This window comes from Homo sapiens, chromosome 2 (genome assembly GCF_000001405.40).
Source record: "Homo sapiens chromosome 2, GRCh38.p14 Primary Assembly".
Lineage (NCBI taxonomy): Eukaryota > Metazoa > Chordata > Mammalia > Primates > Hominidae > Homo > Homo sapiens.
The window spans coordinates 178638652-178662060 of NC_000002.12; the positions used below are offsets into that span (position 1 = coordinate 178638652).

At 36.2% G+C, this 23409-nt stretch overlaps 1 protein-coding gene and 1 long non-coding RNA gene across 22 annotated transcripts in view; one reads left to right on the plus strand and one right to left on the minus strand.

Moving 5' to 3' along the window:
• TTN (titin) overlaps positions 1-23409 on the minus strand; it is a 281435-nt gene that overhangs the window by 112663 nt on the left and 145363 nt on the right. For 9 of the 21 annotated variants that reach the window (NM_003319.4, NM_133437.4, NM_133432.3 and 6 more), the window contains 5 exons: positions 3586-3666; positions 2590-2664; positions 1890-1979; positions 1397-1459; positions 1048-1137 (listed from right to left, as the gene is read on the minus strand). In NM_003319.4, coding sequence (NP_003310.4) covers positions 1048-1137; positions 1397-1459; positions 1890-1979; positions 2590-2664; positions 3586-3666 — 399 coding nt within the window. Of the gene's footprint in view, positions 1-1047; positions 1138-1396; positions 1460-1889; positions 1980-2589; positions 2665-3585; positions 3667-5896; positions 5966-7268; positions 7380-7833; positions 7909-8412; positions 8494-8729; positions 8814-10596; positions 10681-10902; positions 10981-11165; positions 11244-11512; positions 11621-12099; positions 12184-12591; positions 12670-12801; positions 12886-13014; positions 13099-13232; positions 13317-13444; positions 13529-13612; positions 13697-13806; positions 13891-14001; positions 14086-14196; positions 14281-14389; positions 14474-14586; positions 14671-14775; positions 14857-14969; positions 15051-15165; positions 15247-15360; positions 15445-15556; positions 15641-15793; positions 15884-16093; positions 16178-16260; positions 16345-18846; positions 18931-19035; positions 19117-19229; positions 19311-19425; positions 19507-19620; positions 19705-19816; positions 19901-20053; positions 20144-20353; positions 20438-20520; positions 20648-23107; positions 23192-23296; positions 23378-23409 lie in introns of all 21 variants that reach the window. The other 12 variants (NM_001267550.2, XM_017004819.1, XM_017004821.1 and 9 more) reach the window with 8 other exon arrangements.
• LOC124906100 (uncharacterized) overlaps positions 3666-23409 on the plus strand; it is a 71929-nt gene continuing 52185 nt past the window's right edge. Inside the window, exon 1 of the long non-coding RNA XR_007087318.1 lies at positions 3666-5850. This is a non-coding gene — a long non-coding RNA (uncharacterized LOC124906100). The remainder of the gene's footprint in view (positions 5851-23409) is intronic.

The following is a 23409-nucleotide window of genomic DNA, read 5'->3' on the forward strand; positions in this document are numbered from 1 at the left end:
ATTGAATATCTTAGATTCTTCACATCTTAGAAAATTATCAATACATGCCTTCTCCCCACCCCACCACCACCGCCCCCGCTTTAAATTTACTTTGTTTTATTTTTGGTTTTGTTGTTTCTTTTTTAAAAAAATAATTTCAACTTTTATTTTAAACTCATGGGATGCATGTGCAGTTTTGTTATGTGGATATATTTCATGATGCTGAGGTCTGGGATATGAGTGATCTCATCACCCAGATAGTGAGCCAAAGGGCAAATAGTCAGGATGTGTATGTTTATCAATGACTATCAATTACACATCAAATCAGTTTTGATCAATTATATCTCAAATTATCACTTAAATGATGAACTATACTAAATAGTTCATATACAATTAATAGGTGCTTTAAGTTTGGACTTGAGATACCTATATCATTAAGTTAGAACATTTAAGAAAATTATTATTGATCTAATTCCTTATACAGATTAAAAGACTGAAATATGGAGTCTCTTTTTTCTTTTTCTTTCTTATTGTGGTAAAATATACCTAACATAAAATTTACCATTTTAGCCATTTTTAAGTATTCAATTCAGTTGCATGAAATACATTCACAATATTGTACAACCATCAACACTATCCATTTCCAGAACTTTTACATTATCCCAATATACACACTTTTTTAAAAAAGAGAAATTGTTCCAATAGGGTATAAGGGAAATTTGAAGCTTCATGGGATTCTTATATGTATACCCTTACAGGGTCTCTGCCTGTCTCCTTAGTTTTTATCAGCCCCAAACATATTCATTACTTAATCTCCAAAGCATATGAAAGAAATGGTGCAACCCAGGAACGTACATTCCAGTTAAGGCACAATATTCACCCACTGGGCAAGAGACAAGGTGGATAAAGGATATCACATGAAGAAAAGGTAGAAACTTACCATAAACCTCCGAAGTTGAAATGATACCTATGTTGCAGCATAAACAGGGCTTGAATTTTAATCAAGTGTGAATACTTTTATTAAGTCACCAAAACAAACTAGCAAAAAGAAAGCTACAGGATAAATACCTGCTTTCTTTCCAACCACTGGCACTGTTACTGGGGCAGCGATGGGGGTTGGTTCAGGTTCCACAGGAGGTGGTTTGATTGTTTTCACTTCTGTAGAGAGAAGTCCATTGCATTAGTGTATCAATTTGTCACTTCCTAAAAACTTATTTGGTAGCTTATTTGCCTCTTCTGATATAATTTTGAAATCTTCAAATAACTAGTTTTTAAGAGAATAGTATATTAAGCATTTTGAGACGTTAGAAATCATTTGATACATACTGACTTTCACCTACTATCTTTTATTAAGTACATGTTATGTGTGTGAATACAGAAAGAATATGCTGTTGACATTGAGGATAAGCTTGCTCACCTGCTTCGGGCTTTGGTTTCGGTTCAGGTGCAGGGAGAGGTATTGCTGGCTTGATTTCAGGCACTGAAATAATTTAGAGTAGAGGGCAGATTATTACAGGATTTTTGAAGTTTTTCACAAAGTCAAAACTAAAATTAAGCCCACGTATCTTGGAAGATATTAGAATTTATATACATATAATTATCAAATCAAGTATTTGATTAGTTTTCATTTTAAACAAAATATTTGGAAAATATAGTAAGGCAATGTTCTTGGTTTTAATGTTGTTATTTATCTCATTGCCCATAAATACAATTTTTTTTCAGGTAACTTATTTAGCAACTGAGTAATCATTAGCCAATTGCATAGGAGAGTGAGATGGTAAAGAAAATTAAGCCATATGTGATTAACAGATTAAGGTCATGTGTTCAAATCTTGATGTCAGTGTAATGATATTTTAAATGATACATATTTGCATTTTTAGAGACAACTAAGAATGACAGTAGATTTGTACCTTTTGTTGGTTCAGGAATCTTCCTTTCCCTTTTTGTAACAGTAGGTACTTCAACCTCTTCAACAGGTTTTGGAGGTGGTGGTTCTGGTACTTTAAGATAAGATTATTTTTTCAGTGTTAATATTTGAATATTTAGGAAGCACCTCATCTGAAATATCAATTTATTTTTCAAAAACTCTATGGATGGTTTTTTAAAAAACCTTATAGTTTATCAAGTAATTTCTATTTTATTTTCTTGACTCTGCTTCCATTTATTTTTCTTCCTTTTATTCCATCCACTTATCTTCCACTCCCCTTAGCTCTCTCCTTCTAAATCACTTCTATAATAGTTCCCAATAATTTTGCCCTTTGAGAATAGGCTAATGATAAAAACCAACCCATTTAAAAGCCCCCAGATTATGAAACCTTTGCTGACACCCTCCCATGAATAGCCACTTGATTATTTCAGTCATTTCTACTGGAAGAACTTAAGTTGCAAAGTAATGATAAGAATGAAGTGCAGGGAAATACATGAATGGATTTGGGAATTACTATAAAAATATTTAAACAGAAAGCAGACAATGGAAAACAGAGACTACATCACAGATGAAATATGAAGCCATGTTTACATCTAACTTCATTTATGTTTACAAGATAAACCTTTTGTTAAATGTCCATTTTGTTAAAAGATAATCTTACAAATTGTCACTGAGATTCCTACCTGCAGGTTTTTTAACTTTTTCTAGTTTTTTAGGTTCTACTTTAGGTTCTTCTTCTTCAGGTCTTTTTCTTAGAACTTTAAAGACAAAAAGGTTTATATGTAAACCAAGACAAACTAATGAAGATGTTGAATAAGCTTGACAAATGCAAATAATGTACAAAGCAAGGAAAATGAAAAAAAGCATGCTACCTAGCACTCTGGAAAGTAAGCATTTACACCGAAAGTGTTTTTTGTTTTGTTTTTTTTAAAATCAAAGGTTGTCAATTATAATAGCACTCAAAGTTACTTTGTTTCTATCTAGATAGAGGGTCTATTCTGAGACAAGTCTGTGGGAGAAACAGCTCCAACACAAAATGAATAATTTGAATAGCAACGAATTATAATAATAATTAAATGTTAATGATTTAATGAGTATGTAAATAAGTAGAAAGTTTACTTAAGCAGAGATATCTGAAGAAATGTAGCCTAAAAATCAGTAATTCTATGTGAAGACAATGTTAGAACTTAATTCTTCATTTGACTATCTTGTTTCTCATTCTTTAATATTTTATTAGTCAGAAAGAAATGTTCAGTTTTTTAAAAATGTTATTTATTAGTTGTGGTGATCCTGTGTCACACTTTAAAACTGAATATTGAATTTAAGCTAAAGTAGTTTCATGTAAGGTATTTAATAGGTTTAGTGTACTTTACTACATAATTTGGTTATGAAAATGGCAGTCATAGTTGTTGTTAGTTTAGAATATTATCAACTTAGTTATGTCTATTAACATTTTAAATTTCAAAATACTGTGAATGCTCACAAAATTTCTGTCTTTTTTTTTTAAAAAAAAAGATCTGGAAATGACATTTTTCTTAATTTTCAATGAAACTACAAACAAATTTTGATAAATAGCGAACCAATTCAAAGAAAACCAAAGGACAGAAACATTTTGTAAGCTTTCAAGTTCATTTTTAAAATATACTTAACGCTGACAGAATGGTTGAAAAATACTATACCGCTTTTCAGAACAACTTCTTCCTTTGGTTCAGGTTTACGTTCCGGAAGTAATTTGCGAACTTTCTTTTCACCTCCAGGCACTTAAAAGAATATGATTTCAAATTTTGAAGTGAATTTATATAAAAACGGAATTTCAACAAGAAAAATGTCTCTCCTAAAACTAGTTAACTGTAGTGCATTAAGTAACAATTTTCGCTGCATATAAATACCACAGAATTTAAGTTTAAATGATACATTTCAAGTTATCTCCTCTGCAAATATCTATACAGCCTTGTGATGAAATTCAACTCCATTAACTGCAGGCAAATGTATTCATTTTAAATGCATGTAGAGGATGTTGCTCCATACTGACTTTATGAATCTTTCATCAAATTACAGGGTTCTTGACAGCATCTTTGTCCCAAACTGCAATTGTAGATTGTCCAAATCTACGATGTTATCTACCCAACCACTAAATGTATGAAAATGATACTGGCAAGTGTTAGTGCCATCATTCAGTCTTCTCCACTGAGGGAAGAAGGTGGCCAAGAGTTCCGGTTTGTGACTTTGATGCTGGGGAAGGGCCATATCTCACTTTCTGAACAGAAGAAGAGTAGCCTTTCTTAAGATTTCCTTTTTGAAATAATGCTGGATAAAATATTTAAAATTATAGAATTATAAAATTTCAAAGCTGGTGTTGGAAGCTCGTTTTTCATGAATAAGAAAATGTTCTTAAATTCATTCAAATTAAGGAACGCAAGGAATTCAAAATTTCCTGTTGCGTCTACAGTGAATACTGAGCATGGTGGATGATGCTATTTTATAGAGCAGCCTCTTTTGCTATTATGGCCCTCATAGATTTGAATGGTGAAAGAAAGGAACACGTGGTGATTATTAAACCATTTTCCTCTCTACTAATGTCAATTAAAATCTAATTTAAAACAGTATTTATTTGTATTGTGTAACTATTTGCTATTAGGAATCTGAATTTTTAGATATTTCTATAAAACTTCCTATTTAGGGCTTTAAACAAGATATTTGCAATTCATTAAATGGTTTTTTATGTGATAAAGATAACTGCTTAACTCTTATTTCAAAAATTTAAACCTACAATAGGCAAATATGTATTTCGTTTTGAATAATCATTTTTTTAATGTCAAATATTTTAAGTAAAAATTTTAAAGTTAAACATTACGTATTTTATCCAGGATAAATTGTGTTGGCCTTCAATACTATTTTAGAGGTACCAATCTTCTTAATAACTATTTTTATTGCTCAAACCCAGAAGGAAGCACATGCATCTAATTAATGTAAAGTGAGGAGGCATAATATAGATTTTCTTTACTGATATAATGAACATAGTGAAAATATATCTGTGCATTTTTTATATTATTATTTGATTTTAAAAATCTTATTGATGTTTGAGAACCCAACATTGTAGCTATTATTTTTAAAGTCATTATATGTGATTATATGCTATTTTAATGTTTATGATCAATATCCATGATAACATTATTTTGTAATTGCCTCTTTATGAAATCAGGAAATGTATATTTATATGGGTGACTTTTTTCCCCAAAATTTCAGAGTGACCAGAAACAGTCTTAATTTCTAGGTCTGAATGTGTTGATTACTTGAACAGAACACTACTACCCATTAGAAAAATTATGTTTATTTTTGATAGATGTTTTCTAGACTCTTATAATTCATTTAGTTTTCTTTAGGGTCTAATTTTAGATGAGACCTTATTAGGGAAAATATTGTTTACAGAAAAATACATTTTGAAAAATTACCTACAGTAATAAGGAAATTTTTCTGAAATGTGAGTTCCGTACCCCTCAGAGAATGACTTAGAGCCAGTGAGAAGAGAGTGACATGAAAGTCCTAAGGAAATCCCTACAAATAACCTTAATAATATAAAAGGAAGATAGGACTTATTTTTAGTGCTTATTACATTGGCTAAAATTTTTATGTCAGGTGAAATGTCAAAACAGTTTACTACTAGCTCTCAGCATTTTAATCTCATATGTCTCTTGATATCAATTTTGGCTAACCAGTAAAATTTGTTATTTTTAAGTTTAGGAAAATGCAAGAAGACATATGTAGATGAGACAAAGATAGACCATGTCTATACATGTATGAAATGGATGGGAGACAAAGGAAGCAACACTCATGAGCCAGGACCATAAAAGCCACAGAAATATAAGAAATGAATGGGACTACTCTCTGATCATTGAAAAAGAGAGACAGAACATTCGATGGAGGCAGAAAGAGCAAGGAGTCAGGTAAAGGGGTACTACATAAGTATGTATTTTTCAGCCTGTGAAATACCTTTCAGAGGTGTAAGCTCCACTTTTTCTGGAACCTGAGGTTTTTCAGGAACTTTCTTCTTTGGAATAGCTTTAAAGAATATGATTTTACTTTTGTTATTTGTATATTTAATCTGAAGCAAGTGATTAACTTTCTACTCCAAGAATCAAAACCAAGCTTTGCTTATAACCAGAAAGCATTAATAACAGCCAAGAACAGCCTTCAAAGAACATACAAGCAGCATTCGAACCATGAAAACAGACTGCAGTTTTACTCCAAAGTTCAGTAGTTAATTAAAGACCAGCAGAAAAAGAAGACAATTTTTGTTATTGGCAGGAGGAAGAAATTTTCCTTTAAGCATATATTTTACATTAAGGGAAATGTATTTATGTGTGTGTCTTCATGGAGTGTCAATTAACAGATGGGTGGCCTTTCAAGAGGTGCCAGAAGGTCCCCCTAATGGCTATGAGGGTTGTAGAGGGCAAGAATCACCAGCAGCAATGTCTTATGCTGGAAGACTGTGGTTTGAAGATACATAGGTCTGTATAGGGAAAGTGCATATCTAAGATTATATCTAGATAATTTTAGATTGGGGAATCATATGACGTCACAAGACAACTTTTTATTAAAATAAGAATAATATGTTTCTGCCAGTTTATTTCAGCTTTTAAAGAAACTGATATTTTTAAAATTAAGTAACATTGTGTCAATTCATAGAAAAATCAAAATATAAGAAGGGGGAAGGGAAGTTTAATAATAAATGCTGGATACCAAATGTCTTCATAACCACTCTTTCCAGCTCCCCTGAGAACCACACAGAACACTTCTTTAAGTTGCAAGAAAAAAAAAGAGATGGGGGAACTGTAACAAGTCATTCATATGCTTTCCTTTCATGATATATAGGCACATATCAGCTACTGGAAATCATAACTATATTACTTGTAATATATTTAAAAGCACATGCAATTCTTTAAGAACAAAGTTTTGGCTTTTATGTAAATGTGTTACTGCAATATTAAAAATATCTTGCAAGGATTTCTTATACATTCCTTAAGCATAAGATCGCAATGATATGTATAGCAATCAGGCTTTGAAATCAGAAAACTCTTTCTCCCCACTCCACAAAAGAAAGTTAATTGGACAGTGCCTGCATTCAGATATCCCGGATGACGCTATCAATGTACTTTCTGACTTTTGCAGCAGCAGGCATGGCATGACAAGCAACCCAGGAACCATGGGGCAGCAGAAGAGACAGCTCTATGCAATCTCACAGTACAATCATGTCTGAAAGTACACACTTCTAAAAGTCATACATTTCTTGCAAGCATCATTTCAGATGGCTGGATAGAAGTTTGAAGCAGGCTAATAAAACTTTGGAAGTGGCATTTTTTACCTTTAAGTTGGAATATTTTCTCCTTCACATCTTCCTTAGGTGGAGCAGGTGGAGGAGGTGGGGGTCTTGGTTTGAGTTTTGGCTTCTCAATAACCTTTTCAGGTTCAGGTTCTTGAAAGAGTATTTCAGAGGTGTTAGTATATGTATATGTTAGCATGTGGATATGTAGTATATTTAATAGAAATTATATATATATATATATATATATATATATATATATATATATATGAAGTACAAAGTTTACTTTTTAAGGTACGTAATACCAGTATCCAACATAAAACACAGAACATAAAACATAAAAATATCAACCCTTTACAAAGATGATGAGAAATACAGCAAAGGCACCAATAACAACAACAAACAAAGCATCCAGACAAGCCACAGTTGACATGAGAGAAACAGTACAAGTTACATGGAAACCTAAGAATGAGGCTCACATTTACAACAAAGAATACTTTACATACAAATGGGAACAGACATACTACATATGTACAACAACATAAACCATATACATTTCAAGAGAAAGAATATGATAAAGAAGATTTAAGTCCACTGGATTGAATACCTTTTACTGGTATTTCTTCAGGCTGTGGTTCAGGTTCGGGCTCTTCAGGTTTAATATACTTTTCAATTTCACGTTCTTTAAAGAATGTTGACAAAGGAGATGAGGTTGCAATGTAAAGTTCTTCAAAAAGACTCATACAAATTTCACATTGATGCAAAGATTACAGTCACAAAATAAAAATATACAATTCATACAAATTCATGTATAGAAAAATTCACGTATAAGAAAAAGTTCTTTTACTTGAACTGCCTATTAATTAGATTATTCAATGTATATTGATGGCAAATGAGATGACTTTTAAAATTTGATACCGTGTTATCATTTGAGGATCCAAGGCAATTATTCCATTTTGCTTCAGTAAACTGTACCTTTTGGAAATTGTAATTACCAACAACAGTAACTAAATTAAAGATTCTAACTTAAAAGAAGTGTAACTATTTCAAAAATAAAGCAGTCAAACATGCTAGACTGCTCTTGTATATAATTTCAAGAAGGAATATTGTCCTGTAAATGCTTTTGTAATTCTAACAGGAATCTTCAGGAGATTAAAAAAATGTATATATATATATATATATATACCTTCAACAGGGGGAGTCTCTTTTCTACCAATGGTTATAGATGCTTTTTCTTCATATATTATTTCCTCAGGAGTCTCTTCAACTTTAAAAAACATAGTATTTTATTTTAGACTATATTTAGAACAGAATACTGCAACTACTATTCTAACATATCAACCTAGTTACATTAAGTAACACTCTATAACAGATTATTCAGATGACCCCCCAAATATCAATAACTTCAATACAGACAGACAAATACGTAAGATTCATCTACAATCAAAGCAAGAGGATGAAGACAATTGTCATCTTTCCAAGATTTATGGAGAAGCCGTGTACCTTCAGCAGGTGGAACTTCTGGCTCTGCAGGGATAGGCACAGACACTTCCTTTTCTGGGATGATTTTCTCAGGCACTTTGGGCACTTTAAAGATATGATTTTGTTTACTATTAAGAATTTAGAAGACATGCAAGATTGTCTAAAGAGCAGGCAAAGAATGCAGGGGCAAGAGCTTCATCTTAGATTTCATGGGGAAAATGGCTTCTGAGACATGGCACCATTTTGGACATCCTAATTTTATATATGAATCTTCTCAGCTTTCTTCATTTGCTTCTAGTCCTCTGTGTACACTTAAATGAAGGTGGTCTAACTTTGACACTTAAAAAAATTTGCTCTACATTTTCTGAGTAATTGTTCCTGCACACTCAATTCTTATTTACATGTGAATGACTTTAAGATCTACATCTCTAGGCCTGATCTCTTTCTTAAGCTCCTGATACACACTCCCAACTTTTATGCTTTAAAGGTGAAAAGCACATCTACCATTTTCCTCTAACGTTAGTTCAGAGACCCAATGAACCATTCTTTTGGCCATCTAGCTTTAAACCTTACAATGATCTTGGGCTCCTCAATTTCCCTAATGGTTTTGATAATGGTCAGAGGCCACTAAGTCTCCATCTCTTTCAAACCCAGTCCCCCTTTCCATTTCTGCCGCCACGGATCTTGTCCAACTCTTAAAGACCTTAAATAATTGCAATGGGTCTTTACTATTTAGTAGCTGAAATTGCTGCCAGTTATCTTTCTAAAGCCCAAATCCTATTAATATGTAAGCCTGCTTCAAAATCTTTGAAGCTTCCTATTGCCTACAGAAAAAAGTACAAGCCTTTTACTGGCATTTGAAGTACTCCAAAATATGACCCCATCTTTATATCTGGTATTATCTTTCAAGACATTCCACAGCCAATCCATACTCAAATTGAGTTTACTTGACATAAGTTTACTTGACAATCCTTGAACATTCTAGACCCTTCTATCTCTGTGCCTTTCAATATGCTCTTCCCTTTCCATGGGATATCATGTCCTCAATTTCTTTTTTTTAATTTTTTTGAGACAGAGGCTCACTCTGTCACCCAAGCTGGAGTGCAGTGGCATTATCTCAGCTCACTGCAACCTCTGCCTCCTGGGTTCAAGCAATTCTCCTGCCTCAGCCTCCCAAGTAGCTGGGATTACAGGCACATATCACCACCCCCAGCTAATTTTTGTATTTTTAGTAGAGACGGGGTTTCACCATGTTGGCCAGGCTGGTCTTGAACTCCTGACCTCAAGTGATCCACCCACCTTGGCCTCCCCAAGTGTTGGGATGACAGGCGTGAGCCACCACATCCGGCCTTATTTCCTCAATTTCTACATGTAAAAGTCCATCAAAATTTAAATTCAGTTTAACACAGCTTCCCATGATGCCTCTGCCTGAACTTAATCTTTTCTTGCCGTGTGTTTCTGCAGCCCTTTTGTATTCACTTGCTATGTGTAATCACTTCCTGTCTGTATTAGAGTCCTGTTATCTTTCTATCCTCTCACCAGATTTAACTTATTTGAAGACAGAATCAGGCCTTAATTTTTCTAATATGATGTCTTGTTAATGGTCAACATTCAACAAAATATGTTGAATTGAGCTGTTTTACACATTGAATGAGAGAAGGTTCTTTTCTACTAGTTGTAGCCATGTGATATATCACAGCACAACTGAATCCCACTCATTTTTTCACTCCTGCTTGTCTGTTTCATTTTTTTCCCTTCATTATTTCCCTTTTTTCTGTGCAATATGGTTTTAACATAAATTCACATTCAGTATGTTTTTCTCTAAGACCTATTATTAACATGCTTAAATAGCAGTTAGAGAAATCTATTTTTTCTTCATGGTAGGTACCTTTTTCTGGAAGAACTTCTGGTTTTTTGGTAACAGGCACAGGTTCTTTCTTTACTGGAACAAGTTTCTTGGGCACCTCAGGCACTTTGAAGATATTAGTTTTGTTTTAAAAATAGTATTTAAAAACATTTTAAAATATTAAGAATAAAAAACCTGTATTTATTGGAGCAGCATTAAAATTAATGAAAGCAAAATAAGGAAATTTTTGTCCTTAGTTATGCAACAACAATGAGGACAACTTATTGGATTCCACTTTAAGATATCAGAATACTTTCTTTTTTATGATGCCAACGATGAAGTGAATACCTTTAGCTGCTGGTGTTTCTGGCTTCTTAACAGTTGGGACCTTCTTCACTGGAACAACTTTCTTTGGCATCTCAGGTTCTTTAAAGATATCAGTAGCATTTAATAATACAAAGTTGTGAGATGTAAGATATACATACAAGTTTATTCAACACTGTAACATATAGGTAAGAGTTAACAAACATATAATACAACACAACACACAATAAGAAGAGTGTAAAATTGTAGACACCACAAAAATGAAGTATTCATTTTAACATGAGTACCTTTAGGAGGCGGTGCTTCTGGTTTTTTGATGACAGGAACTTTCTTCTCTGGGATGATCTTCTTGGGCTCTTCAGGCACTTGAATAATAGGAATTTCTTTTAGAATTAGGTGATTACAATGAAAAATTTAATGCTAATGAATGAATTAAAAACCACACATATTTCTTGGTATATGTGGGACCAAATTCTGTGGGTCCAAAGTTTTATGTGTAGAAATAACTTTTGTTCTTAATGTAGTCAGATTTCAGGCAACAAGATACAAGACTGATATTTTGCCTTAAGGAAGATATATAGACATGAAAAATGAAATGACTGTATTTTCCCATACAGTGGATTCTGCTTTGTACCTGCTGGAGGTGGAACCTCTGGTTCCTCCTCTTCTGCAACAGGAACTGGCTTTTCCTCTTCAGGAGCAATTTCCTCTTCAGGAGCAATTTCCTCAGGTTCTTCATATACTTTAAAGATATTAGTTAATTTTATTTCAATGTATGGAACAATATTCTAAGATGGACAAACACTAAACACGATAAATAGTAATCTTGATTTCTTCCTTTGTTTCAATTGATACCTTCTCTTATTTTTGTTTAGATAAAATCTATCTCATTTGCACTGACTTCTTTGTCTATTGATTCAAATGCTTGCAAAGCCCTTTTAGTGTTTAATGTCATTTATAATCATTAGTTCTCCTGCCTTACTTTCTATGTACATTGGAGAAGCTTTGTTTAATATAGCTTACTATGACTTATGTAGATACTGTGGACCAATAACCCAAAATAGATTTGAGATTGGAGCTAATTTAGAATGATGAATTAAGACAAATAATTAAAGGTTAGAAAATGACCAAGAAATAATGAGTTAGGAAGGAAGAAGAACAAAGCTTAAATTAGAAATAGTCGCAAGTGGCAAGGTCATTAATCACCGGTCTCACGTGTACCTTCTGGGGGAGGAGACTCCGCTCTTTCTGGAACAGGAACAGCTGGTTTCTCTTCCAAGACAGGTTTCTTTGGCACTTCTGGCACTTTAAAGATATTAATTCATTTTTCTTATGAGTAGTTGAGAAGTATATTAAATTTATACCACATCGACTTCACATTTTGCTCAAATAACCCAGGGACAGATCCAAGAACAAATTTCACAATAAGGTCAGTGATCTGTCTTTGGACCCTCATATAGTGGGGAGGAAAATATGGCCTATTAAGAATAAAAGAACCAAGTTAGTAAACTTTTCCAATGCTTGTAATAAGTAAATATATCACTTTTTAAAGTCAATGAAAAAATTATTAAAAAGTATTCAGACCCTAAAAATCCAGAATGACAGTTTTGTAGTTGCAAATTTAAGAGGACTCGCAAACAAAAGGTTTGATAATAGGTGACTTATTAGACAAGGGTGAGTGCTTTTCTGCAGAATCTCATTAGTGACATGTACCTTTTGCTGGTGGGACTTCTGGCTTTTTGGGAACAGCTACTTTCTTTTCTGGAACAACTTCTTTTGGAACTTCAGGCACTTCAAATATATTAGTATTTTAACATTAGAAACAATCACCAGTAAACATTCATCACATTTACACAGAACAAAACCCTTTTAGAAGCTGGGGGCTCCATCCGCCCCCATCAAACAGTGGACAGCCACATATACCTTTAGCAGGTGGGGCTTCTGGCTTTTTGGGAACCACCAGAGGCACCTTCTTTTCAGGAACAACCTCCTTGGGCACCTCGGGCACTATAAAAGATATTAGTAGTTGTTTAAGCTCATGGTTTCAATGAAATGTGAAAATCATGAAGCAGAACAGTAGAATATGACACTTCAAAGAAAGTTTTTTGTTAGGGAGTTAGTGGCAGTGAGGAATACCTTTCACTGGTGGTAGTTCAGGTTTTTTGGCAACGACAGCAGGTGCTTTCTTTTCTGGGACAGGTTTCTTAGGTGGTACGGTCACTAAAGAATTAGAAGGTATGTTTTAGAAAGAACGAAGATTGAGAAACAAGACAAAAGCTCAGAGCACCCAGAATTATCAGGGCAGGAAGGGGAAAGAGTGGCCGAGGTGTCCTAGCAGCTTTCTTGCCATGTACCTTGTGGAGGCGCCGCTGGCTCTGGCTCTTCCACAACTTCAGCAGGAGGCTCTTCTAGGGCAACTTCCTCAGGCTCCTCGAACACTTTAAAGACATGAGCTCATTTTAATGCCAGAATTGACTAAAACTGAGATAGTTTGCAAAAAAATGTTTTTACAACACTAAGGAAAGATTTTTTTAAAAAACACTAATTTGAATAGTTTCATTATTACCTTCAGGGGGAGGACTTTCCGGTTTGGGAGGAATAGCTTCAGGCACCTTCTTTTCTGGGACAGCTACCTTTGGCACCTCTGGGACTTTAAAAGATATTATTATTTTCATTGTTAGACAAAGTAAAGACAAACAAACAATATCAAACACAGCACCATGAGGGTGTCTACCTTTTGTGGGTGGCACTTCAGGCTTTTTAGGAGGAGGCACTGGCACTTTCTTTTCAGGAACAACTTCTTTGGGAGCCTCAGGCACTTGAAAGATAATAGTGAAATTACATTTAGGCATTATGAAGACCACTAGAAAAATACTTTCCAGAGCAGAAGAGTTTGATCATCTGAAGCCTAAAATCAGTGACAAATACCTTTAACAGGTGTGACTTCAGGCTTTTTAGGAGGAGCCGCTGGCACTTTCTTTTCAGGAACAACTTCTTTCGGAGCCTCTGGCACTTAAAAGATATTAGTGAAATTACATTTAGAAGTTATGAAGACCATTAGGAAAAATATTTTCAAGAGTAGAAGAGATAGATCTTCTGACGCTTAAACTCAATGACAAATACCTTTAACAGGTGGGACTTCAGGCTTTTTAGGAGGAGCCGAGGGCACTTTCTTTTCAGGAACAACCTCTTTGGGAGCCTCTGGTACTTAAAAGATATTAGTGAAATTACATTTAGGGGTTATGAAGACCACTAGAAAAAATATTTTCAAGAATAGAGGAGTTTGATCTTCTGAAGCCTAAAGCCAGTGACAAATACCTTTAACAGGAGGGACTTCAGGCTTTTTAGGAGGAGCCAAGGGCATTTTCTTTTCAGGAACAACCTCTATGGGAGCCTCTGGCACTTAAAAGATATTAGTGAAATTACATTTAGAAGTTTGAAGACCACTAGAAAAGTATTTTCAAGAAATGAAGAGTTCAGTCTTCTGAAGCCTAAAGCCAGTGACAAATACCTTTAACAGGTGGGACTTCAGGTTTTTTAGGAGGAGTCACTGGCACTTTCTTTTCAGGAACAACTTCTTTGGGAGCCTCTGGCACTTAAAAGATATTAGGTAAAATTACATTTAGGGGTTATGAAGACCACTGGAACAAAATGTCTTCAACTGCAAAAGAATTAGATCATCTGAAGCCTAAGGTCAGTGACAAATACCTTTAACAGGTGGGACTTCAGGCTTTTTAGGAGGAGCCAAGGGCACTTTCTTTTCAAGGACAACTTCTTTGGGAGCCTCTGGCACTTAAAAGATATTAGTAAAGTTACATGTAGAGCTATGGAGACTACTAGCAAAATATACAGCAGAGGAATTGGATCTTCTGAAGCTTAAGGTCAAATGACAAGTACCTGTAACAGGTGGAACTTCTGGCTTTTTAGGAAGCACCAGTGTTTTCTTTTCTGGCACAATTTCTTGTGGGACTTCAGGCACTTGAAAGATATTAGTAGTTTTTCACTTAGGTTAATGAGACAAATGGAGTAAAATATTTCTAAGATCAGAAGAGATATTTCTTCTGCAGAAAAAGGACAGGGGTAAAAAATACCTGTGGCAGGTGGGGCTTCTGGTTTTGTGGGAGGAGCCTTAGGAACTTTCTTTTCTGGGACAACTTCTTGAGCTTCAGGCACTTGAAAGATATTAGTAGTTTTAGACTTAAGTTAATGAAGAGAAATGGGCTAAAATTGTTTACAGTAGGAGAGGAGATATCTCTTCTGCAGAATGAAGTCAGGGCTAAAGTGTACCTGGGACAATTGGAGCTTCTGGTTTTTTGGGTGGAGCCACGGGAATTTCTTTTTCTGCGGCTTCTTGAGGAACTTCTGGCACTTGAAAGATATTAGTAGTTTTATACTTAGGTTAATGAAGAGGAATGGACTAAAATTGTTTTCAGGAATGGAAGAGAGATTTCTTCTGCAGGATAAGGTTGAGCTGACATGTACCTGTAACTGCGGGGGCTTCTGGTTTTTTGATTGGTGCCTTGGGAATTTTCTTTTCTGGGACAACTTCTTGAGCAGCTTCAGGCACTTGAAAGATATTAGTATTTTTATAATTTATGAATGGCGAAGGTATATATTACAGTGATTGTGAGGGGTACAGACAGTAAGTTATTCTTAGCAGAGGAGAGGGAATAAATACCTTTTGCACGTGGGGCTTCCGGTTTTTTGGGCACAGCCACAGATACTTTCTTTTCAAGTACAACTTCTTTAGGAGCTTCAGGAACTTTGAAGATATTAGTATCTTTTAGTTAGAAGCTATAAAGGGGGAATATCGACTCCACATTTACCCAAGCAAATACAACTTGTGAGATCGGCGGACACTTCTATACAGTCTTTCCCCAGGGCCCCCCGACTGACAATGTGTAATGATACCTACCTTTAGGAGGTGGAGCTTCTGGCTTTTTGGCAGGAGGCACCGGTACTTTCTTTTCTGGGACCACTTCCTTCGGTGGCAGCACTTCAGGCACTTCAAAGATATTTGTAATTTGTGTTTAGAAAAGGTGAAAATGATGGATGCCTTTTGCATATAAACACCCACCAAGATATTTTGGATAGTGATTGACATTTGTTTTCTTTAGAATTATATCATCTTTATGTAGTAGGATTTTTAACATGTAATTTCCTAGTTAAAATAACAGTTATTTTTCTCCTATAGTTTGTATAGCTTTGGCATTACCTTCAGGGGGAGGACTTTCCGGTTTGGGAGGAATAGCTTCAGGCACCTTCTTTTCTGGGACAGCTGCCTTTGGCACCTCTGGGACTTTAAAGATATTAGTATTTTCATTATTAGACAAAGTAAAGACAAACAAACAATATCAAACACAGCAACAAGAGGGTGTCTACCTTTTGTGGGTGGCACTTCAGGCTTTTTAGGAGGAGGCACTGGCACTTTCTTTTCAGGAACAACTTCTTTGGGAGCCTCAGGCACTTGAAAGATATTAGTGAAATTACATTTAGGCATTATGAAGACCACTAGAAAAATATTTTCCAGCAGCACATCAAAAAGCTTATCCACCATGATCAAGTGGGCTTCATCCCTGGGATGGAAGGCTGATTCAACATACAAAAATCAATAAACGTAATCCATCATATAAACAGAACCAACGACAAAAACCACGTGATTATCTCAATAGATGCAGAAAGGGCCTTTGACAAAATTCAACAGCCCTTCATGCTAAAGACTCTCAATAAATTAGGTATTGATGGGACATATCTCAAAATAATAAGAGCTATTTATGACAAACCCACAGCCAGTATCATACTGAATGGGCAAAAACTGGAAGCATTCCCTTTGAAAACTGGCACAAGACAGGGATGCCCTCTCTCACCACTCCTATTCAACATAGTGTTGGAAGTTCTGGCCAGGGCAATCAGGCAGGAGAAAGAAATAAAGGGTATTCAATAAGGAAAAGAGGAAGTCAAATTGTCCCTGTTTGCAGATGGCATGATTGTATATCTAGAAAACCCCATCGTCTCAGCCCAAAATCTCCTTAAGCTGATAAGCAACTTCAGCAAAGTCTCAGGATACAAAATCAATGTGCAAAGATCACAAGCATTCTTATGCACCAATAACAGACAAACAGAGAGCCAAATCGTGAGTGACCTCCCATTCACAGTTGCTTCAAAGAGAATAAAATACCTAGGAATCCAACTTACAAGGGATGTGAAGGACCTCTTCAAGGAGAACTACAAACCACTGCTCAACGAAATAAAAGAGGACACAAATGGAAGAACATTCCATGCTCATGGATAGGAAGAACTAATACCGTGAAAATGGCCATACTGCCCAAGGTAATTTATAGATTCAATGCCATCTCCGTCAAGCTATCAATGACTCTCTTCACAGAATTGGAAAAAACTACTTTAAAGTTCATATGGAACCAAAAAAGAGCCCACATTGCCAAGTCAATCCTAAGCCAAAAGAACAAAGCTGGAGGCGTCACGCTACTGTATTACAAGGCTACAGTAACCAAAACAGCATGGTACTGGTACCAAAACAGAGATATAGACCAATGGAACAGAACAGAGCCCTCAGAATAATACCACACATCTGCAACCATCTGATCTTTGACAAACCTGACAAAAACAAGAAATGGGGAAAGGGTTCCCTATTTAGCAAATGGTGCTGGGAAAACTGGCTAGCCATATGTAGAAAGCTGAAATTGGATCCCTTCCTTACACCTTACACAAAAATTAATTCAAGATGGAGTAAAGACTTAAATGTTAGACCTAAAACCATAAAAACCCTAGAAGAAAACCTAGGCAATACCATTCAGGACATAGGCATGGGCAAGGACTTCATGTCTAAAATACCAAAAGCAATGGTAACAAAAGCCAAAATTGACAGATAGGATCGAATTAAACTAAAGAGCTTCTGCACAGCAAAGGTACTACCATCAGAATGAACAGGCAACCCACAGAATGGGAGAAAATTTTTGCAATCTACTCATCTGACGAAGGGCTAATATCCAGAATCTACAATGAACTCAAACAAACGTGTAAGAAAAAAACAACCCCATCAACAAGTGGGCGAAGGATACAAACAGACACTTCTCAAAAAAAGACATTTATGCAGCCAAAATACACAAGAAAAAATGCTCATCATCACTGGCCATCAGAGAAATGCAAATCAAAACCACAATGAGATACCATCTCACACCAGTTAGAATGGTGATCATTAAAAAGTCAGGAAACGACAGGCGCTGGAGAGGATGTGGAGCAATAGGAACACTTTTACAATGTTGCTGGGACTGTAAACTAGTTCAACCATTGTGGAAGTCAGTGTGGCGATTCCTCAGGGATCTAGAACTAGAAATACCATTTGACCCAGCCATCCCATTACTGGGTATATACCCAAAGGATTATAAATCATGCTGCTATAAAGACACGTGCACACGTATGTTTATTGCGGCACTATTCATATTAGCAAAGACTTGGAACCAACCCAAATGTCCATCAATGATAGACTGGATTAAGAAAATGTTCCACATATACTCCATGGAATACTATGCAGCCATAAAAAATGATGAGTTCATGTCCTTTGTAGGGACATGGATGAAACTGGAAACCATCATTCTTGGCAAACTATCACAAGGATAAAAAACCAAACATTGCATGTTCTCATTCATAGGTGGGAATTGAACAATGAGAACACATGGATACAGGAAGGGGGACACCACACACCGGAGTGTGTTGTGAGGTGGGGGGATGGGGGAGGGATAGCATTAGGAGACATACCTAATGTAAATGACGAGTTAGTGGGTGCAGCACACCAACATGGCACATGTATACATACGTAACAACCTGCACGTTGTGCACATGTACCCTAGAACTTAAAGTATAATAAAAATATATATATATATAAAAAGAAAAATATTTTCCAGAGCACAAGAGATAGATCATCTGAAGCCTAAAATCAGTGACAAATACCTTTAACAGGTGGGACTTCAGGCTTTTTAGGAGGAGTCGAGGGCACTTTCTTTTCAAGGACAACTTCTTTGGGAGCCTCTGGCACTTAAAAGATATTAGTAAAGTTACATGTGGAGCTATGGAGACTACTAGCAAAATATACAGCAGAGGAATTGGATCTTCTGAAGCTTAAGGTCAAATGACAAGTACCTGTAACAGGTGGAACTTCTGGCTTTTTAGGAAGCACCAGTGTTTTCTTTTCTGGCACAATTTCTTGTGGGACTTCAGGCACTTGAAAGATATTAGTAGTTTTTCACTTAGGTTAATGAGACAAATGGAGTAAAATATTTCTAAGATCAGAAGAGATATTTCTTCTGCAGAAAAAGGACAGGGGTAAAAAATACCTGTGGCAGGTGGGGCTTCTGGTTTTGTGGGAGGAGCCTTAGGAACTTTCTTTTCTGGGACAACTTCTTGAGCTTCAGGCACTTGAAAGATATTAGTAGTTTTAGACTTAAGTTAATGAAGAGAAATGGGCTAAAATTGTTTACAGTAGGAGAGGAGATATCTCTTCTGCAGAATGAAGTCAGGGCTAAAGTGTACCTGGGACAATCGGAGCTTCTGGTTTTTTGGGTGGAGCCACGGGAATTTCTTTTTCTGCGGCTTCTTGAGGAACTTCTGGCACTTGAAAGATATTAGTAGTTTTATACTTAGGTTAATGAAGAGGAATGGACTAAAATTGTTTTCAGGAATGGAAGAGAGATTTCTTCTGCAGGATAAGGTTGAGCTGACATGTACCTGTAACTGCGGGGGCTTCTGGTTTTTTGATTGGTGCCTTGGGAATTTTCTTTTCTGGGACAACTTCTTGAGCAGCTTCAGGCACTTGAAAGATATTAGTATTTTTATAATTTATGAATGGTGAAGGTATATATTACAGTGATTGTGAGGGGTACAGACGATAAGTTTTTCTTAGCAGAGGAGAGGGAATAAATACCTTTTGCACGTGGGGCTTCCGGTTTTTTGGGCACAGCCACAGATGCTTTCTTTTCAAGTACAACTTCTTTAGGAGCTTCAGGAACTTTGAAGATATTAGTATCTTTTAGTTAGAAGCTATAAAGGGGGAATATCGACTCCACATTTACCCAAGCAAATACAACTTGTGAGATCGGCGGACACTTCTATACAGTCTTTCCCCAGGGCCCCCCGACTGACAATGTGTAATGATACCTACCTTTAGGAGGTGGAGCTTCTGGCTTTTTGGCAGGAGGCACCGGTACTTTCTTTTCTGGGACCACTTCCTTCGGTGGCAGCACTTCAGGCACTTCAAAGATATTTGTAATTTGTGTTTAGAAAAGGTGAAAACGATGGATGCCTTTTGCATATAAACACCCACCAAGATATTTTGGATAGTGATTGACATTTGTTTTCTTTAGAATTATATCATCTTTATGTAGTAGGATTTTTAACATGTAATTTCCTAGTTAAAATAACAGTTATTTTTCTCCTATAGTTTGTATAGCTTTGGCATTACCTTCAGGGGGAGGACTTTCCGGTTTGGGAGGAATAGCTTCAGGCACCTTCTTTTCTGGGACAGCTGCCTTTGGCACCTCTGGGACTTTAAAGATATTAGTATTTTCATTATTAGACAAAGTAAAGACAAACAAACAATATCAAACACAGCAACAAGAGGGTGTCTACCTTTTGTGGGTGGCACTTCAGGCTTTTTAGGAGGAGGCACTGGCACTTTCTTTTCAGGAACAACTTCTTTGGGAGCCTCAGGCACTTGAAAGATATTAGTGAAATTACATTTAGGCATTATGAAGACCACTAGAAAAATATTTTCCAGCAGCACATCAAAAAGCTTATCCACCATGATCAAGTGGGCTTCATCCCTGGGATGGAAGGCTGATTCAACATACAAAAATCAATAAACGTAATCCATCATATAAACAGAACCAACGACAAAAACCACATGATTATCTCAATAGATGCAGAAAGGGCCTTTGACAAAATTCAACAGCCCTTCATGCTAAAGACTCTCAATAAATTAGGTATTGATGGGACGTATCTCAAAATAATAAGAGCTATTTATGACAAACCCACAGCCAGTATCATACTGAATGGGCAAAAACTGGAAGCATTCCCTTTGAAAACTGGCACAAGACAGGGATGCCCTCTCTCACCACTCCTATTCAACATAGTGTTGGAAGTTCTGGCCAGGGCAATCAGGCAGGAGAAAGAAATAAAGGGTATTCAATAAGGAAAAGAGGAAGTCAAATTGTCCCTGTTTGCAGATGGCATGATTGTATATCTAGAAAACCCCATCGTCTCAGCCCAAAATCTCCTTAAGCTGATAAGCAACTTCAGCAAAGTCTCAGGATACAAAATCAATGTGCAAAGATCACAAGCATTCTTATGCACCAATAACAGACAAACAGAGAGCCAAATCGTGAGTGACCTCCCATTCACAGTTGCTTCAAAGAGAATAAAATACCTAGGAATCCAACTTACAAGGGATGTGAAGGACCTCTTCAAGGAGAACTACAAACCACTGCTCAACGAAATAAAAGAGGACACAAATGGAAGAACATTCCATGCTCATGGATAGGAAGAACTAATACCGTGAAAATGGCCATACTGCCCAAGGTAATTTATAGATTCAATGCCATCTCCGTCAAGCTATCAATGACTCTCTTCACAGAATTGGAAAAAACTACTTTAAAGTTCATATGGAACCAAAAAAGAGCCCACATTGCCAAGTCAATCCTAAGCCAAAAGAACAAAGCTGGAGGCGTCACGCTACTGTATTACAAGGCTACAGTAACCAAAACAGCATGGTACTGGTACCAAAACAGAGATATAGACCAATGGAACAGAACAGAGCCCTCAGAATAATACCACACATCTGCAACCATCTGATCTTTGACAAACCTGACAAAAACAAGAAATGGGGAAAGGGTTCCCTATTTAGCAAATGGTGCTGGGAAAACTGGCTAGCCATATGTAGAAAGCTGAAATTGGATCCCTTCCTTACACCTTACACAAAAATTAATTCAAGATGGAGTAAAGACTTAAATGTTAGACCTAAAACCATAAAAACCCTAGAAGAAAACCTAGGCAATACCATTCAGGACATAGGCATGGGCAAGGACTTCATGTCTAAAATACCAAAAGCAATGGTAACAAAAGCCAAAATTGACAGATAGGATCGAATTAAACTAAAGAGCTTCTGCACAGCAAAGGAAACTACCATCAGAATGAACAGGCAACCCACAGAATGGGAGAAAATTTTTGCAATCTACTCATCTGACGAAGGGCTAATATCCAGAATCTACAATGAACTCAAACAAACGTGTAAGAAAAAAACAACCCCATCAACAAGTGGGCGAAGGATACAAACAGACACTTCTCAAAAAAAGACATTTATGCAGCCAAAATACACAAGAAAAAATGCTCATCATCACTGGCCATCAGAGAAATGCAAATCAAAACCACAATGAGATACCATCTCACACCAGTTAGAATGGTGATCATTAAAAAGTCAGGAAACGACAGGCGCTGGAGAGGATGTGGAGCAATAGGAACACTTTTACAATGTTGCTGGGACTGTAAACTAGTTCAACCATTGTGGAAGTCAGTGTGGCGATTCCTCAGGGATCTAGAACTAGAAATACCATTTGACCCAGCCATCCCATTACTGGGTATATACCCAAAGGATTATAAATCATGCTGCTATAAAGACACGTGCACACGTATGTTTATTGCGGCACTATTCATATTAGCAAAGACTTGGAACCAACCCAAATGTCCATCAATGATAGACTGGATTAAGAAAATGTTCCACATATACTCCATGGAATACTATGCAGCCATAAAAAATGATGAGTTCATGTCCTTTGTAGGGACATGGATGAAACTGGAAACCATCATTCTTGGCAAACTATCACAAGGATAAAAAACCAAACATTGCATGTTCTCATTCATAGGTGGGAATTGAACAATGAGAACACATGGATACAGGAAGGGGGACACCACACACCGGAGTGTGTTGTGAGGTGGGGGGATGGGGGAGGGATAGCATTAGGAGACATACCTAATGTAAATGACGAGTTAGTGGGTGCAGCACACCAACATGGCACATGTATACATACGTAACAACCTGCACGTTGTGCACATGTACCCTAGAACTTAAAGTATAATAAAAATATATATATATATAAAAAGAAAAATATTTTCCAGAGCACAAGAGATAGATCATCTGAAGCCTAAAATCAGTGACAAATACCTTTAACAGGTGGGACTTCAGGCTTTTTAGGAGGAGCCGAGGGCACTTTCTTTTCAAGGACAACTTCTTTGGGAGCCTCTGGCACTTAAAAGATATTAGTAAAGTTACATGTGGAGCTATGGAGACTACTAGCAAAATATACAGCAGAGGAATTGGATCTTCTGAAGCTTAAGGTCAAATGACAAGTACCTGTAACAGGTGGAACTTCTGGCTTTTTAGGAAGCACCAGTGTTTTCTTTTCTGGCACAATTTCTTGTGGGACTTCAGGCACTTGAAAGATATTAGTAGTTTTTCACTTAGGT